Below are 18,866 nucleotides of genomic sequence, written 5' to 3'. Positions count from 1 at the left end.
TCACATGCCACCACGCCCGGCTAATTTTTTGTATCTTTAGTAGAGACGGGGTTTCACCACGTTGGCCAGGCTGGTCTCAAACTCATGACCTCGTGATCTGCCCACCTCGGCCTCCCAAAGTGCTGAAACTACAGGCGTGAGCCACCGCATCCAGCTATTGTCTCCTTTTTATTCTTTATATAAACTGAAACATACACAATGTTTTGCTGTATGACTGACTTCCTTAACTCAATATTATGTATTAAAATATATGTGAAAGCTTTTGGGTTCTGTAATAATATTTCACTACAGATACTTAGGAGTAGAAGTATTCAATATATAGTATGCATTTTTTCACCTCATAGTACATAATATCAAATAGATTTTTAATATGATTGTCACAATTTATACTCTCATCAGCAATATTAAGGCTCCCCAGTGCTCTACATTCTTGCCATCATTTGGATATGTCAGCCTTTTGGATTATAGTCATTCTAGTGGGTACATGTAGATTTCATTCACAGTTTAATTTGGTTTTCCTTGAGAATAAAAGACAATTACGGAAGTTGAACATGTGTTCATGTTTGCTGTTCATTAGGAGATCCTCTTTTGGATGAGCTTATTTAAGACTTTTACTTCTATTTTTTTGTAGATTTGAAGACTGCATTACATATTCTAATTATATATATAATATGTTTTTAATCTTTGATTTGCCTTTTCAGTCTCTTAATTATATCTTTGTCAGTTCTCAATTTTAATGTAGTTAAATGTATTGACTTTTTTTTTTTACACTTAATATTATAGTTTTGTATCAGTTTCCCAATCTGGAGAATGTGAAAATAATGTCATTGACTTTTTTTTTCTATAAGTTTGATTGTTTTATCTTCCACATTTAGATCTATAATCCATTTGGAATTGCCTTATTTTTAATGTCAGGAGGGTAAGAACCAGGTTTTATTTCTTTCTAACGTGTATAGAAGGCCTGACACCATTTATTGAGAAGATTATCCTTTCACTATCGTTACCATAAATCAACTCACTATATGTATAAGTCTGGCAATTACATTGAATATATAGATATATTTGTGGAAAAATTAGACTCACAAAATAGTCAGTCTTCCAGTCCATAACCATGATATGTTCCACCATTTATTAGCCCTTGGCATATTGCATAGTTTTCAGTGTATAGTCCTTGGCATATTTTGTTATATTTATTTCCATATTTTGTTAGATAAGTAAATTACTTTGAAGCATAAATACACATATAGAAAAGTGGACACATCATAAATATACAGCTCTGTGGATTTGAGCAAACTAAATATATTCAGAATGCCAGCACCCAAAGAAAATTCAGAATACAACAGTTTCCATGAAGCCCTCTTCATGCTCTACCACCTCCTCCTACACCCATCAAGACTACTATCCTGCTTTGGTACTTTAGGCAAATGGAATCTTAGAGTACATATTTCTTAGTATCCAGTGTCTTTTACTCAATAATAAACATGTAAGATTGGTAGATATTTTGGGGTTTAGCTGTAGGTCAATTGTTCTCATTGCTCTATAGTGTTTATTATATGAATATATCATGAATTATTTAACGCTCAACTCTTGATGAACATTTGAGTGCTTTCACTTTTATGTCTAACTCTGGTGTCTGTGGTTATGCAGAGTTTTCCGTTATATTCCTATGCCATTTGGTGGTTTTCCAGAGCCAGCTGAGATGATGCTGTGTCACTGACAGATCCTTTCCAATAGGACTTTCCCAACCATAATGAAGAAGACCTCTCAGTTTTGGGTTGGCAGTTTAACATGAGATAGAATTGGACATAGTGCCTCATCTACCCTCACTCCCAAATGTAAGACAATTGAGAAAGCACATTTGAGTGTAGTAGAATTAGTTAAAGATGTAAGTGTTGGAAGTTTTCTTCCTAGGATTTCTCTGACCATCATAACTTTGAGGGTAACCACAGCCCTTCACTCCACAAGAGCCCAGCCTACTTCTACCTTGCTAGTTTCAGTCTGTCCTCTCCTATATTCTATCCTCTTCCCTCTACTCACTACCTTGTTTTTCAAAACAAACAAAATTTTTTAACAAAGCAATTTAATAGTCATTTTTTCTTGCTTAGGTATCTGCTGATACTTAAATTGTTGGAGCTATGCCTCTTCTCCAATATGCATTTCAAGTTTGTTTCCAAGAACATACATTTCCCTCTCTATCAGGAATTTTGGAGTCTGACATTAATATTAAACAATGAACCTTATTTTTTACATTTTTGTAATACATTATCCAAATAGCCATTCCACTACAAGTGAAAAGGAAATTCTACAGAAAACCTATGGGAGTTCCACATAGTGCACAGACACCATTGCTTTGGAAACTTTGTGGCAAAATATGTCACAACAGAGACATGAGCTTAAATCAAATTAGGCATTTTGAGGACCCTGAGGTTTAGGTGAATTTTTACCAGAGCATCAGCTGCACATGCCATGAAATGTCCTGGCAGTTGAAACAGCCCCAGTGGAAGAATATTGGGTCTGAAGGCAACTTCAGGTACAGTGGTTTATTTAATCATTAGCAGATGGCTCTCATGAAGAATTCTATAGATTTATATTTTTAAAAATCAACTTATTGTTCTACAAGAACAGTAAAGGAGTGGATCTTAGAAATAAGCCTATTATGTAAGTAGCTATTCATTGATTTCAGTTTTAATCTCAATCACAATCACAGGAAACAACATCTCCAGCTGCCTTGGATTGACCAAAGAGCTTTTCTTTATGCAAGACCTTATACAAAACCGTTTTAAACACAATGACTGGAAGTGTGTGCAACTTGCTGGGGACAGAGGAGAAACACCTTCCTTTTGCTGTTGTTTTCAACAGCAAGTGTTTAAGGCAGTCACTTCTTGAAATCTTTTTACAAAGAGGCTGGTCATTTTAGGAAGCTGGGGATTTTTTGGGCCTGCAGTTTCAGTTCCACAAGACGGAAAAGCCCTAGGCTGTTGTACAGCAATGTGAATACACTTAACACTACTGAACTGTACACTTAAAACTTGTTATGATGGTAAATTGTATGTAATATGTAAAGCTCGTTAGAGAAAAATTTAAAAGGAAAAAAGTTAATACATCAACAAATTGATTATGAAATTTACATTTGAATTGAAATGTAGAAAACTACCAAATAATAATGAGACTAAAAAAGAGCTTTGAATACATACAGCAAGAAGCCATGATTGAAAACAAAGGCAGTTAACTAAAAATAGTGTCTATAAATCAGTGTATATTTGGCACACATCCAGTACAAATCCAGTGCTGGTGCAATTCACAAAGTGATCCTGATTTTCACTCAGAAAAATTGGTTAATTATTGGGGAAAATTCACCCCCGATATTTCACATAGGTTCTTTTCTATTTTCCCTAAGTGTCAGCTGGTCTGAGAAATAAAGGGAAAGGGTACAAAAGAGAGAAATTTTAAAGCTGGGTGTCCAGGGGGACATCACATGTTGGCAGGTTCTGTGATGCCCCCTGAGCCATAAAACCAGCAAGTTTTTATTAGCAATTTTCAAAGGGGAGGGAGTGCATGAATAGGTTGTGGGTCACAGAGATCACATGCTTCAAGGGCAACAAAAGATCACAAGGCAGTTGGAGGCAGGGTGAGATCACAGGACAGGGTGAAATTAAAATTGCTAATGAAGTTTCGGGCACACATTGTCATTGATAACATCTTATCAGGAGACAGGCTTTGAGAGCAGACAACTGGTCTGACCAAAATTTATTAGGCAGGAATTTCCTTGTCCTAATAAGCTGGGGAGCGCTACGGGAGACCGGGGCTTATTTCATCCCTTATCTACAACTGTAAAAGACAGACGTTCCCAAAGCGGCCATTTCAGAGGCCTCCCCTTAGGAACACATTCTCTTTCTCAGGGATGTTCCTTGCTGAGAAAAAGAATTCAGCGACATTTCTCCTATTTGCTTTTGAAAGAAGAGAAATATGGCTCTGTTCCACCCAGCCCACAGGCAGCCAGACTTTAAGGTTATCTCCCTTGTTCCCTGAACATCGCTGTTATCCTGTTCTTTTTTCAAGGTGCCCAGATTTCATATTGTTTAAACAATTTGTGCTGTTAATGCAATCATCACAGGGTCCTGAGGCGACATTCATCCTCAGCTTACGAAGATGACGGGATTAAGAGATTAAAGATAGGCATAGGAAATCACAAGAGTATTGATTAGGGAAGTGATAAGTGTCCATGAAATCTTCACAATTTATGTTCAGAGGTTTCAGTAAAGACAGGTGTAAGAAATTATAAAAGTATTAATTTGGGGAACTAATAAATGCCCATGAAATCTTCACAATTTATATTCTTCTGCCATGGCTTCAGCCAGTCCCTCTGTTTGGGGTCCCTGACTTCCCACAACAGTTAATAATAGGAGCCAAAACAATGTATTGGAAAAGAATTAGCTCCATTGTTAAAACACAACATAAATAAGTCATTTTAGTGTAGTACTGAGTTTACTATAATAAACAGAAAATAGAACAGAATAGATGATTGAGAAACAAATTTAAGTGTATATAAGAACAACCGTCAGGCTATTTTTTTTTAGTTAACACATAATAGTTATACATATCTATGGGACATAGAGTGATATTTTGATACATATACATAATGTGTAATGATCAAATCAGAGTAATTAGCATATTCATTGTGAGAAAACATTTTAAATGGTCCACTTTCAAGACACAATAAATGTAAGTACTGGCAGGCAAATGGAACAAACCGCATGGCTTATGCACCTAGAAGGTCACAATAAGCAAACAGAATGTAGATGAGGGGTCAGCACATAAAAGGGAATAAAGTTTCGTTATTGGGAAATCAAAACTTAAGCGGGGAAGGGGAGAGAGTATAACCTTATAAGGGGGATATTGAAACTTAGGCGATGTCTGGGAAGATTTTAACCCCATAGTACTCAACCATCAAGGAACTGGGGTAGGGACTTGCATGCTAGGAGATAAATTACCTGTTGTAACTGCCCCATGTGTGCCTGTCTACCATGTGCCCGATCTTGCAACACCATTATTAAGTCTCACTTTCACTGTTCTTCGTGCCTCTAAGTCAGTTCTTCGGGTTTGGACAGGTGAGCGTGTTTCTCACATGCATCACCTCAAACATTTATAATTTCTTTGTGTTAGATAGATTCAAAATCCTCTCTCCTAGCATTTTGAAAATATACAATAAATTATTGTTAACTATATTCACCCTACAATACTATAGCACACTTAAACTTATTCCCCCATCTAGCTATAATATTGTAGCTGTTAACAAACCTCTCCCTACTGTCCTCTCCCCTCTGCCTTTCCCAGCCTCTAATAATCACAGTTCTAATCTCTACTTCCATAAGCTCAACTTATTTTAGCTTTCATATGTGTGAACATTTATCTTTCTGTGCCTGGCTTATTTCATTTTAATTATGTAGGCCCATCCATGTTGTCTTGAATGACAGGATTTCACTTTTATGACTGAATACTAATCCAATGTGTAGCTACACTATACTGTCTTTATGCATTCATCTGTAGTTGGATATTTAGGTTGATGCAGTATCAGCTATTTTGAATAGTGCTACAATAAACATGGAGTGCATATATTTCTTCTATATACTAATTTCCTTTTTAGCTTTTATTTTAGGTTTCTTTTAGGTTATATGCAGTTTTCTTATATAGCTAAATTGCATGTCATGGGATTTTGGTGTACAAATTATTTCATCACCCAGGTAATAGGCATGCTATGCAACAGGTAGTTTTTCAATCCTCTCCCTCCTCTCAACTTCCACCCTCAATGTGGCCCCAATGTCTGTTGTTTCCTTCTTTCCTTTGGATAAAGACTTAATAGTGGAAAAAACTGAATCATATGGTAGTTCCATCTTTTTAGTGTTTTTGAGAAAGGTCCACACTGTTTTTCATATGGCTTTACTAATTTACTTTCCCACTAATAGCATATAAGAGTTCTCTTTTCTCCTCATCTTTATTAGTATTTGCATTAATTTTTTCAATAGCCATTCTAACTGAGGAGAAATGATATATCATTGTGGTTTTGATTTGCATTTCACTGATGATTAGTGAGGTTTAATTTCTGGGATACATGTGCAGAACGTGCAGGTTTGTTACATAGGTATACATGTGCCATGGTGGTTTGCTGCACCTATCAACCCATTATCTAGGTTTTAAGCCCTGCGAGCATTAGGTATTTGTCCTAATGCTCTCCCTCCCTTGCCCACTACCCCCAAAACAAGGGCCAATGTGTGATGTTACCCTCCCTGTGTCCATGTGTTCTCATTGTTCAGCTCTCACTTATGAATGACAACATGTTATGTTTGGTTTTCTGTCCCTGTGTTAGTTTGCTGAGGATGATGGTTTCCAGCTTCATCCATGTCCCTGCAAAGAACAAGAACTCATTCTTTTTTATGGCTGCATAGTATTCTATGATGTACATATGCCACATTTTCTTTATCCAGTCTATCATTGATGGGCATTTGGATTGGTTATAAGTCTTTGCTATAGTAAATAGTGCTGCAATAAACATAGGTGTGCATGTGTCTTTACAGTAGAATAATTTATAATCCTTTTGGTATATACCCAGTAATGGGATTGCTGGGTCAAATGGTATTTCTGGTTCTAGATCCTTGAGGAGTAGCCACGCTATCTTCCACAATAGTTGAACTAATTTACACTCCCACCAGCGTGTAAAAGCATTCCTATTTCTCCACATCCTCTCCAGCATCTGTTGTTTCCTGAATTCTTAATGATCACCATTCTAACTGGCATGAGATGGTATCTCATTGTGATTTTGATTTGCATTTCTCTAATGACCAGTGATGATGAGCCTTTTCTCATATGTTTGTTAGCCACATAAATGTCTTCTTTTGAGATGTGTCTGTTCATATCCTCTGCCCATTTTTTGATGGGGTTTTTTGTTTTTTTTCTTGTAAATTTGTTCAAGTTTGTTGTAGATCCTGGAAACCAGATCTTTGTCAGATGGATAGGTTGCAAAAATTTTCTCCCATTCTGTAGGTTGCCTGTTCACTCTGATGATAGTTTGTTTTGCTGTGCAGAAGCTCTTTAGTTTAATTAGATCCCATTTGTCAATTTTGGCTTTTGTTGCAATTGCTTTTGGTGTTTTAGTCATGAAGTCTTTGCCCATGCCTATGTCCTGAATGGTATTGCCTAGGTCTTCTTCTAGGGTTTTTATGGTTTTGGGTTTTACATTTAAGTCATTAATCCATCTTGAATTAATTTTTGTGTAAGGTGTAAGGAAGGGGTCCAGTTTCAGTTTTCCTCATATGGCTAGCCAGTATTCCCAGCACCATTTATTAAATAGGGAATCCTTTTCCTATTGCTTGCTTTTGTCAGGTTTGTCGAAGATCAGATGGTTGTAGTTGTGGGTGTTGTTTCTGAGGCCTCTGTTCTCTTCCATTGGTCTATATACATGTTTTGGTACCATAGCATGCTGTTTTAGTTACTATAGCCTTGTAGTATACTTTGAAGTCAGATAGCACGATGCCTCCAGCTTTGTTCTTTTTGCTTGGTATTGTCTTGGATATACAGGCTCTTTTTTGGTTCCATGTGAAATTTAAAGTAGTTTTTTCTAGTTCTGTGAAGAAAGTCAATGGTAGCTTCATGGGAATAGCATTGAATCTGAAAATTACTTTGGGCAGTATGGTCATTTTCACGATATTGATTCTTCCTATCCATAAGTATGTATGGAATGTTTTTCCATTTGTTTGTGTACTCTTTTATTTCCTTGAGCAGTGGTTTGCAGTTCTCCATGAAGAGGTCCTTCACATCCCTTGTAAGTTGTATTCCTAGGTATTTTATTCTCTTTGTAGTAATTGTGAATGGGAGTTCACTCATGATTTGGCACTCTGCTTGTCTATTATTGGTGAATAGGAATGCTGGTGATTTTTGCACAATGATTTTGTATCCTGAGACTTTGCTGAAGTTGCTTATCAGCTTAAAGAGATTTTTGGGCTAAGATGATGCTGTTTTCTAAATAAATAATCATGTCATCTGCAAATAGAGACAATTTGACTTCCTCTCTTCCTATTTGAATGTGCTTTATTTATTTCTCTTGCCTGATTGCCCTGGCCAGAACTTCTAATATTATGTTGAATAGGAGTGGTGAGAGAGGGCATCCTTGTCTTGTGCCAGTTTGCAAAGGGAATGCTTCTAGCTTTTGTCTATTCAGTATGATATTGGCTATGGGTTTGTCAGAAATAGCGCTTATTGTTTTGTGATATGTTCCATTAATATCTAGTTTATTGAGAATTTTAGCATGAAGGGTGTTGAATTTTATTGAAGGCCTTTTTGGCATCTATTGAGATAATTATGTGGTTCTGTTAATATGATGGATTACGTTTATTGATTTGCATATGTTGAACCAGCCTTGCATCCCAGGGATGAAGCCAACTTAATCTTGGTGGATAAGCTTTTTGATGTGCTGCTGGTTTTGGTTTGCCAGTATTTTACTGAGGATTTTCACATCAATGTTCATCAGGGATATTGGCCTGAAATTTTCTTTTTTTGTTGTGACTCTGCCAAGTTTTGGAATCAGGATGATTCTGGCTTCATAAAACAAGTTAGGGAGGAGTCCCTCTTTTTCTATTGTTTGGAATAGTTTCAGAAGGAATGGTACCAGCTCCTCTTTGTAGCTCTGGTAGAATTTGGCTGTGAATCTGTCTGGTCCTGGACTTTTTTTGGTTGGTAGGCTATTAACTATTGCCTAAATTTCAAAAGTTGTTATTGGTCTATTCAAGGATTTGACTTCTTCCTGGTTTAGTCTTGGGAGGGTGTATGTGTCCAGGAATGTATCCATTTATTCTAGATTTTCTAGTTTATTTGTCTAGAGGTGTTTATAGTATTCTCTGATGGTAGTTTGTATTTCTGTGGGATCAGATAAAGGGTGATATCCCCTTTATCATTTTTTATTGTGTCTATTTGATTCTTCTCTCTTTTCTTTTTTATTAATCTGACTAGTGTTCTATCTATTCTGTTAACTTTTTCAAAAAAACAACTCCTGGATTCATTGATTTTTTGAAGGGTTTTTTGAGTCTCTATCTCCTTCAGTTCTGCTCTGATCTTAGTTATTTCTTGCCTTCTGCTAGCTTTTGAATTTGTTTGCCCTTGCTTCTCCAGTTCTTTTAATTGTGATGTTAAGGTGTCAATTTTAGATCTCTCTTGCTTTCTGATCTGGCCATTTAGTGCTATAAATTTCCTTCTTAACACTGCTTTGGCTGTGTCCCAGCTAAAAAGATTCTGGTATGTTGCCTCTTTGTTCTCATTGGTTTCAAAGAACTTCTTTATTTCGGCCTTAATTTCATTATTTACCCAGTAGTCATTCAGGAGCAGGTTGTTGAATTTCCCTGTAGTTGTGCAGTTTTGAGTGAGGTTCTTAATCCTGACTTCTAATTTGATTGCACTGTGGTCTGAGAGACTGTTTTTTATGATTTCCAATCTTTTGCATTTGCTGAAGAGTGTTTTACTTCCAATTATGTGGTTGATTTCAGAATAAGTACTATGTGATGCTGAGAAGAATGCATATTCTGTTGATTTGGGGTGGAGAGTTCTGTAGATGTCTATTAGCTCTGCTTGGTCAAGAGCTGAGTTCAAGTCCTGAATATTCTTGTTAATTTTCTGTCTCATTGATCTGTCTAATATGGACAGTGGGCTGTTAAAGTCTCCAACTATTATTGTGTGGGAGTCTAAGTCTCTTTTTAGGTCAGGTGCTCCTGTATTGGGTGCATATATATTTTGGATAGTTAGCTCTTCTCATTGCATTGATCCCTTTACCATTATGTAATGACCTTATTTGTCTTTTCTGATCTTTGTTGGTTTTAAGTCTGTTTGGTCAGAGACTAGGATTGCAATCTCTGCTTTTTTTTTCTTTTCATTTGCTTGGTAAATTTTTCTCCATACCTTTATTTTGAGCCTATATGTGTCTTTGCATGTGCAATGGGTCTCCTGAATACAGCACACCAATGGGTCTTGACTCTTTATCCAATTTGCCAGTCTGTTTCTTTTAATTGGGGCATTTACCTCATTTACATTTAAGGCTAATATTGTTCTGTGTGAATTTGATTCTGTCATTATGATGCTACCTGGTTATTTTGCACCTTAGTTGATGCAGTTTCTTCATAGTGTTGATGGTCCCTATATTTTGGTATGTTTTTGTGGTGACTGGTACCTGTTTTTCCTTTCCATATTTAGTGCTTCCTTCAGGAGCTCTTGTAAGGCAGGCCTGGTGTTGACAAAATCCCTCACCATTTGCATGTCTGGAAAGGATTTTATTTCTCCTTCACTTATGAAGCTTAGTTTGGCTGGATATGAAATTCTGGGTTGAAGATTCTTTTCTTTAAGAATATTGAATATTGACACCCACTGTCTTCTGGCTTGTAGGGTTTCTGTAGAGAGATCCACTGTTAGCCTGATGGGCTTCCCTTTGTAGGCAACCTGACCTTTCTCTCTAGCTGCCCTTAACGTGTGTTTCTGCGTTTCAACCTTGGAGAATCTAAAGATTATGTGTCTTGGAGTTATTCTTCTCAAGGAGTATCATAGTGGTGTTCTCTATATTTCCTGAACTTGAATGTTGGCCTGTCTTGCTGTTCTCCTGGATAATATCCTGAAGTGTGTTTTCCAACTTGGTTTCATTCTCCCCATCACTTTTGGGTAGATCAATGAATCGTAGATTTGGTCTTTTCACAGTTCCATATTTCTTGGAGGCTTTGTTCCTTCCTTTTTATTCTTTTTTCTCTAATCTTGACTTCACACCTTATTTTAGTAAGTTAATCTTAAATCTCTGATATCCTTTCTTCCACTATTGATTTGGCTATTGATACTTTTGTATGCTTCAGGAAGTTCTCGTGCTGTGTTTTTCAGCTCCATCAGGTCATTTATATTCTTCTCTAAACTGAATATTCTAGCTAGCAGTTCCCATAACCTTTTATCAAGGTTCTTAGCTTCCTTGCATTGGGTTAGAACATGCTCCTTTAGCTCAGAGGAGTTTGTTACTACCTACCTTCTGAAGCCTACTTCTGTCAGTTTGTCAAACTTATTCTCTGTCCAGTTTTGTGCTCTCGCTGGAGAGGAATTGGGATCATTTAGAGAAGAGGCATTCTGGTTTTTGGAATTTTCAGCATTTTTGTGCTGGTTTTTCCTCATCTTTGTGGATTTGTCTACCTTTGATCTTTGAGGCTGATGACCTTTGGACTGGGTTTTTGTGGAGGGGGGGTCCGTTTTGCTGATGTTGATGTTATTGCTTTCTGTTAGTTTTTTTCTCATGGTTAGGTCTCTCTTTTGCAAGTCTGTTGCAGTTTGCTGGAGGTCCACTCCAGACCCTGTTTGCCTGGTATCACCGGCAGAGGCTGCACAACAGCAAGGATTGCTGCCTGCTCCTTCCTCCAAAAGTTATGTCCCAGGGGGGCACCGGCCTGATGACAGCTGGAACTCTCTGGTATGAGGTGTCGCTGTTGGGAGGTCTCTCCTAGTCAGGGACCCACTTGAGAAGGCAGTCTGTTCCTTAGCAGAGCTCGAGCGTTGTGCTGGGAGAATCCTCCTTGTCAGGATCCACTGCTCTCTTCAGAGCCAGCGGGCAGGAAAGTTTAAATCTGCTGAAGCTGTGCCCAAAGCCGCCCCTTGCCCCAGGTGCTCTGTCCCAGTGGGATGGGAGTTTTTTTTATCTATAAGCCCCTGACTGGGGCTACTGCCTTTCTTTCAGAGATGCTCTGCCCAGTGAGGAGGAATCTAGAGAGGCAGTCTGGCCATAGCTGCTTTGCAGTGCTGTGTTGAGTTCCATCCAGTCCAAACTTCCCAGCCTCCTTAGCAGGAGAAAAATCGCCTACTCAAAGCCTCACTAATGGTGGACGCCCGTCTCCCAACTAGACTCCATTGTCCCAGGTCAACTTCAGACTGCTGTGCTGGCAGTGAGAATTTCAAGCCAGTGGTTCTTAGCTTGCTGGGCTGTGTGGGAGTGGGACCCATTGAGCAAGACCACTTGGCTCCCTGGCTTCAGCCTCCTTTCCAGGGGAGTGAACAGTTCTGTCTCGCTGGGGTTCCAGGTGCCACTAGGGTACAAAAAAAAAAATCCTACAGCTAGCTCGGTGTCTCCCCAAACAGCTGCCCAGTTTTGTGCTTGAAACCCAGGGTCCTGGTGGTGTAGGCACAGGAGGGAATATCCTGGTCTGTGGATTGCAAAAACCGTGGGAAAAGCATAGTATCTGGGCTGAATAGCACAGTCCTTCAGGGCTCCCCTTGGCTGAGAGAGGGAGGACCCTGGCTCCTTGCACTTCCCAGGTAAGTCAACGCCCCCACCCTGCTTCTCCATGGGCTGTACCCACTGCCTAATCAGTCCCAATGAGATGAACAGGGTACCTCAGTTGGAAATGCAGAAATCATCTTCTGTGTTGGTCTCACTGGGAGCTACAGACCAGAGCTGTTCCTATTCGGTCATTCTGCCAGATCTAAGACATGTTGAGCATTTTTTATATACTTGTTAGCCATTTGTATGTCTTCTTTTGAGAAACGTCTATTCATATATTTTGCCCATTTTTTAAATAAGATTGTTTGTTTGTTTTTGAGTTGAGACTCTTGTATATTCTGAATATTAGTCCTTTGTCAGTTGAATAGCTTGCAAATACATTATCCCATTACATAAGATGACTCTCCATTCTGTTGGTTTTTTCCTTTGCTGCACAAAAACCTTTTAGTTTAACAGTCTCATTTGTCTATTTTTGCTTTTGTTGAGTGTGCTATTGAAGTTTTACCCATCAAATTGTTGCCTGGACTGATGTCCACAAGTGTTTTCCCTATGTTTTTCTGTGATAGTTTTAAAGCTGGGGGTCTTACATTTAAATATTTAATCCATTTTGAATTGATTTTTCATACAGCACATTAATATCCACATTTCCCAGCATCAATTATGAACATACATTCCCCAATGTATATTGCTGGCCTTTGTGTCAAAAATAAGGTGACTTTAAATATGTAAATTTATTTCTGAATTCTCTATTCTGTTCCATTGGTCTACGTGTCTGTTTTTTACTGACAGGTCATTTTTTATAAAATTAAAACTCAACTCATTTCACATAAGTGACATGAAAGGAAATTCTTCACGGATAAAAGTTTGAAATCTTCCAATGTGCAATCTTGGGCTACATAAAATGTGCAATCTTGGGTGACATGAAAGGAAATTCTTCATGGATAAAAGTTTGAAATCTTCCAATGTGCAATCTTGGGCTACATATTTCAGTGTTCAGTGCTCCATTCTTCCACTCCTCTCCAGGCCTTTGCTTTTATGCTTTGAGTGCAAGTCAATCTTACCCACTAGAGTAAGTCCAGTTTAGGGCAGTGCCTGTGTCTAATTCATCTTCATACACTTCTCAGCACCTAGTACAGTGCTGTGCATGCAGTGTATTTGCTCTCTATACACACACATGCATATGGTTGTTTTTCTAGCTTGCAGGTCTTGCATCCATTTGATATGAGACTCAGTGACCCCAGCTGAATCACTGAATCCCTCTTGCTATGCACTCTACGGGCAGCTGCATAGAGCTCTTTGTGTGAAAATAAGCTTACTATCAAAACATTCCACACCTGAAATTCAGTCTGTTCATTGGATGCTGATATTGAGACTGCTAGGCATATATACAATAATTATTGCATCATGTAATAATACTAAACTGTGAATTAATTTGATCTGTGACCATCTACTAGAAGAATTCCATAGCCTGCAAACCAAATGAACCGAAAGTGAGGAAATGATGCTTCCTCATCCCCACCATCTAAATGAAAAATTCCCTAAATATTTTTTCCCAGCTGTCTGACATAAAAACAAAAAGCACAAAAACTGTCCCCAACACATTGCACTAAACAGAAAAGAGTGGTTTTCTTAATATCTAGTCTATTTCCCAGAAATGAAGAGCTTGTCCCTGCTTTCACTTTCAATTTGGGGCAGTTTTGGTAGTTTGAGTCTTTCTACGAATTTGTCCATTATGTCTAATTTAATTTGTTGGCATACAGTTGTTGATAGCATTACCTTAAAATCTTTTTTATTTTTGTAAGGTCAGAAGTAATGTCCCCTTTTTCATTCTTGATTTTGGTAATTTGAGTCTCCTGTTCTTCTGCTGGGTTTTTTGTTTTGTTTTGGCCAGTCTAACAAAACAGGTTTTTTTTGCCAATTTTGTTGATCTCTTCTAAGAACAGCTTTTGATTTTATTGATTTTCTCTACTTTTGTCTTATATTCTCTATCTCATTAATTTCTACTCTTTATTTCCAAAATTCTTTATTATTTTCTTCTTTCTGCTAGCTTTGGGTTTAGTTTGCTCTTCATTCACCAGCGTCTTAAGGTAAAAGATTAGGTTATTGATTTGAGTTCTAATATTTTCTTACTAATTTCTCTAGAGTGTATCATATATGTAATTTATGAGAATGTATATCACATTTATGCTAAATCAATTCCAATGAGAAAATTTTTACTCTTATAAATCTAAAAATACTAGTTTTCTCACTTTTTTGATACTATTAAATACGTTAAATATATGTTCAAACAATATAATACATTGTTATAATTAATTCACATAATTTTATGTCTTTTAAAGAAGCTGAAGGGGAAGGTATAAATGTATAGAGCTTGTTATGTTAACTTACAGTTTCAGGTTCTCTTAATGTATTCCTGGGGGTTCAAGTTAACATCTGCTGTCATTTCTTTATTCCAATGCAGCTTCGCTCCTACTGTCCTCTCTTGTCCTGTTCTTAAGTATATCACGTTTCTATATGTTATGAGCCTGAAACACAATTATATACATATTGCTTTATACAACTGTCTTTTAAAAATTAGTTAAAAAGAGAAATAAGAAGAAATATGCATTTATACAGTCTTTTATAACTATATAATTATCTTACTGGTGCTCTTTGTTTGTCCATGTGGATGTGTATTGCCATCTGGAGTCATCTGCTTTCTGCCTGAAAACCTTCTTTTATTAATAGTATTTCTTGTAAAGTCAGTCATCTAGTAGTAAATTTTATTTATGTTTCCAGGCTTGAATCTCCCCCCGGCCCACACTCTTTTTCAAATAAAGTCAGTTTCTGTGGGAAAAGCTTTGGAGCTCTGATTTTATGGACTGCCTCTCTCTCTCTGGAAAATATCTCTGAGCCATGACCCCTTCGAATGGGCAGAGGTGGTAGCTTCTGCTCTTTGCCAGTTGCCCCTCCCAACACGGAAAAACCACCCTACAAGTGAACCAGAGTGAGGGTGACAGGCCAGGGTTTCTCATTCTGCCATTCCTGAGCTAAAGCTGAAATCTTCTTGCAAAAATTATAACTGAGAATATTATTATGTGAAAGAGATCTGACCTGACTCTATCTTACTTCTAACCTCCAAGCTGTCCTTGTTCATCCCTGAGCATAGGCCAAACTGACATTGGAAGGAATTTAGTCAGCCTTTTCCCAAAATAAAACCCCTTCTTCCCTGAGAACTAGACTAACTTTGCAAGACTAACAAATCAGCCATGAGATTAGAAACTGTGGTCTGAGAGTCATGCAGCTAGAGGCCACAAGATTCCAGACCTCTCCAATTGCCATCCAGGTCAATAAACTGGCTCATCTGGTCTTGTGGCCCCCAGCCAGGAACCAACTCATGCAAGAGGACAACTTTGATGCCCTGTGATTTCATCCCTAACCCAGCCAATCAGCACTCCCCACTCCCCAACCTCCTACCCACCAAATTATCCTCAGAAACCCCCATACCCACATTATCAGGGAGAATCTTTTGAGTAATAATAAAACTTGAGAATCCCATACAGCCAGCTCTGCGTGAATTAAACGCTTTCTCTACTGCAATTCCCCTGTCTTGATAAATCAGCTCTACCTAGGCAACAGGCAAGGAGAACCTGTTGGGCAGTTATGGAGCCTCTGCTCTATGAGTGGGACTGGGAAAGTTTGGGAGCCCTTGACTTCTGGTCACACTCACCAGAAATTTAGTCTTTACAACTCACTATTGGAGGGGATGAAAAATTCTGGTGGACTGGCACTCCTGATAGGATATGTCATCCCTGCTCAGAATGTGAGAGAAGAGGCAGCCCCACCTTCTTTCCATAGCCCCCAGTAGTGGACCTTTTGTCAACCCGAACTGAAAATGAGGATGAAGAGGCCCAAGGGTCAAGTGCCACAGATTCTTGTTATTCTTACCGGAGTTATAGGAGCTCTCCTTGAATAGATGTTTCATTGTGATGTATGCTTCCTGTGGGGAAAAGCAAGAGAGATCAGATTGTCACTGTGTCTGTGTAGAAAGAAGTAGACATGGGAGACTCCATTTTGTTATGTACTAAGAAAAATTCTTCTGCCTTGAGATTCTGTGACCTTACCCCCAACCCCGTGCTCTCTGAAACATGTGCTGTGTCAAACTCAGGGTTAAATGGATTAAGGGCGGTGCAAGATGTGCTTTGTTAAACAGATGCTTGAAGGCAGCACGCTCCTTAAGAGTCATCACCACTCCCTAATCTCAAGTACCCAGGGACACAAAAACTGTGGAAGGCCTCAGGGACCTCTGCCTAGGAAAGCCAGGTATTGTCCAAGGTTTCCCCCCATGTGATAGTCTGAAATATGGCCTTGTGGGAAGGGAAAGACCTGACCGTCCCCCAGCCCGACACCCGTAAAGGGTCTGTGCTGAGGAGGATTAGTATAAGAGGAAGGCATGCCTCTTGCAGTTGAGACAAGAGGAAGGCATCTGTCTCCTGCCCGTCCCTGGGCAATGGAATGTCTCGGTATAAAACCCGATTGTATGTTCCATCTACTGAGATAGGGAAAAACCACCTTAAGGCTGGAGGTGGGACATGCGGGCAGCAATACTGCTTTGTAAAGCATTGAGATGTTTATGTGTATGCGTATCTAAAAGCACAGCACTTAATCCTTTACCTTGTCTATGATGCAAAGACCTTTGTTCACGTGTTTGTCTGCTGACCCTCTCCCCACAATTGTCTTGTGACCCTGACACATCCCCCTCTCGGAGAAACACCCACGAATGATCAATAAATACTAAGGGAACTCAGAGGCTGGCGGGATCCTCCATATGCTGAACGCTGGTTCCCCGGCTCCCCTTATTTCTTTCTCTCTACTTTGTCTCTGTGTCTTTTTCTTTCCTAAGTCTCTCGTTCCACCTTACGAGAAACACCCACAGGTGTGGAGGGGCAACCCACCCCTACACTTCCAGGACAATCTGCAGAGATTTTAAATGGTTCAAATAATTTTGACAGATGTAAGAATGTTATGCTCTAAAAAGTAAAAGACTTTAAAGTAGTTTTAATAATAAAGGAGCTACAGTGTTAAGGAAGGATGATAGAAAGAGTTTAGATAAAATTATTTTACAAAGTATGAATGAGAAAAGACACTGTATCTGCAATTTATATACATCTAATATATAATTTTAATGTGTAAGTGAGAAATGCTTGGCCAGGCCTGGTGGCTCACACTTGTAATCCCAGCACTTTGGGAGGCCAAGGTGGGTGGATCATCTGAGGTCGGGAGTTCGAGACCAGCCTGACCACCATGGAGAAACCCCATCTCTACTAAAAATACAAAATTAGCCAGGATAGTGGTACATGCCTGTAGTCCCAGCTACTTGGGAGGCTGAGGCAGGAGAATTGATTGAACCCAGGAGGCGGAGGTTGCAGTGAGCCGAGATCGTGCCACTGCACTCCAGCCTGGGCAACAAGAGTGAAACTCCATCTCAAAAAAAAAAAAAAAAAAAAAGAAAAAGAAAAAGAAAAAAAAAGAAATGCTCACACAAGGTTGGGTCTGGTGGCTCATGCCTATAATCCCAGCAATTTGGGAGGCCGAGGCAGGGGGATCATTTGAAGGAAGGAGTTCAAGACCAACCTAAGCAACAAAGTGAAACCACATCACTATAAATATATTTTTAAATGAAATGTTCACTCAGGCTTTTTACTATTTTATTTGCTTTTGCTGTAAAATAGAGATAATGCCACTTATTCTGTATGCTAGAAGTCATTACTGAATTAGACATAAAACACAAACAGCTCTTAGAAAACAATCTATAAAAATAAAATCACACTATAATAAATTTAAAAATAAAAAACCTATAAATAAAATATTTCTACAATTTTTCACTTAGTAAATAAGCAGCATAGTGAAGTGGTTCAAGAAGAGGGTATGGGATCATGAGTGCTTGGGTTCAGATTAGTTACAGTGTTATGATTTTAGACAACTAATAAAGTCTTTCTGTGCTCAGTTTCTATAAAACCATGAGGAAATATTATGAGTTTTCAGTTGTGCGATTCATGTAAAGCCATCAGTACTGAGCCTAGAACATGAGTACAACACATGGAGCCCCCTCCTGGCTGTGTGCTGGGCATTAAGTGCCAGGGGTTAGGTGTTCATGAGTGTGTTAAACATGTCCTTTCCTTATGTACTGCACCTCTCAAAGAATAGGCAGCTCCATTGAGAGTGTGTCTATTATTTTAGGAAATTGTAGCTGAAAATTAACATGATGCCTCCTCATTCTAGGTTTCTCAAATTGACTCAATCCATGAGACATGTATCATTGTATTCAAAACCTAATGGGCATTTTGTTAGACAACAAATGGTCTCTAAGATTTCCAACAACAACAAAAAAAATTTGAAGCTTCTGGTTGAGAAATCTTTAAACCCTCCCACTGGCACACTCCACTAATTCCATTTATGGTAGTGGAGTCAGTGATTTGAACGAAGTACTTTCAGTTTCATATTACTCTAAATCCATTACAAATCTGCTTAGCTTCTAAATATTTCATCAATGAGGAAATCCCAGCCCTACAACTTCGGAACAGTGAAATATTAGTCCAGGGATCCAGTG

At 38.5% G+C, this 18,866-nt stretch overlaps 1 long non-coding RNA gene across 1 annotated transcript in view, besides 1 other annotated feature; it reads right to left on the bottom strand.

Moving 5' to 3' along the window:
- Positions 1–18,866, bottom strand: part of LOC105378841 (uncharacterized) — a 57,743-nt gene that overhangs the window by 15,405 nt on the left and 23,472 nt on the right. Inside the window, exons 3-4 of the long non-coding RNA XR_947575.3 lie at positions 16,205–16,256; positions 14,666–14,802 (exon numbers count right to left, since the gene is read on the bottom strand). This is a non-coding gene — a long non-coding RNA (uncharacterized LOC105378841). The remainder of the gene's footprint in view (positions 1–14,665; positions 14,803–16,204; positions 16,257–18,866) is intronic.
- Positions 18,577–18,676: an enhancer, noted in NCBI's record as "active region_1295". NCBI's record gives its function as "activates an Ori minimal core promoter by ATAC-STARR-seq in GM12878 lymphoblastoid cells {active_cell/tissue: GM12878}" and the evidence as "EXISTENCE:reporter gene assay evidence [ECO:0000049][PMID:35858748]".

Source organism: Homo sapiens, chromosome 1, assembly GCF_000001405.40.
Source record: "Homo sapiens chromosome 1, GRCh38.p14 Primary Assembly".
Classification (NCBI taxonomy): domain Eukaryota; kingdom Metazoa; phylum Chordata; class Mammalia; order Primates; family Hominidae; genus Homo; species Homo sapiens.
Note: the sequence above shows the minus strand (reverse complement) of the source record. Positions and strands in the feature narration are given on the sequence as shown.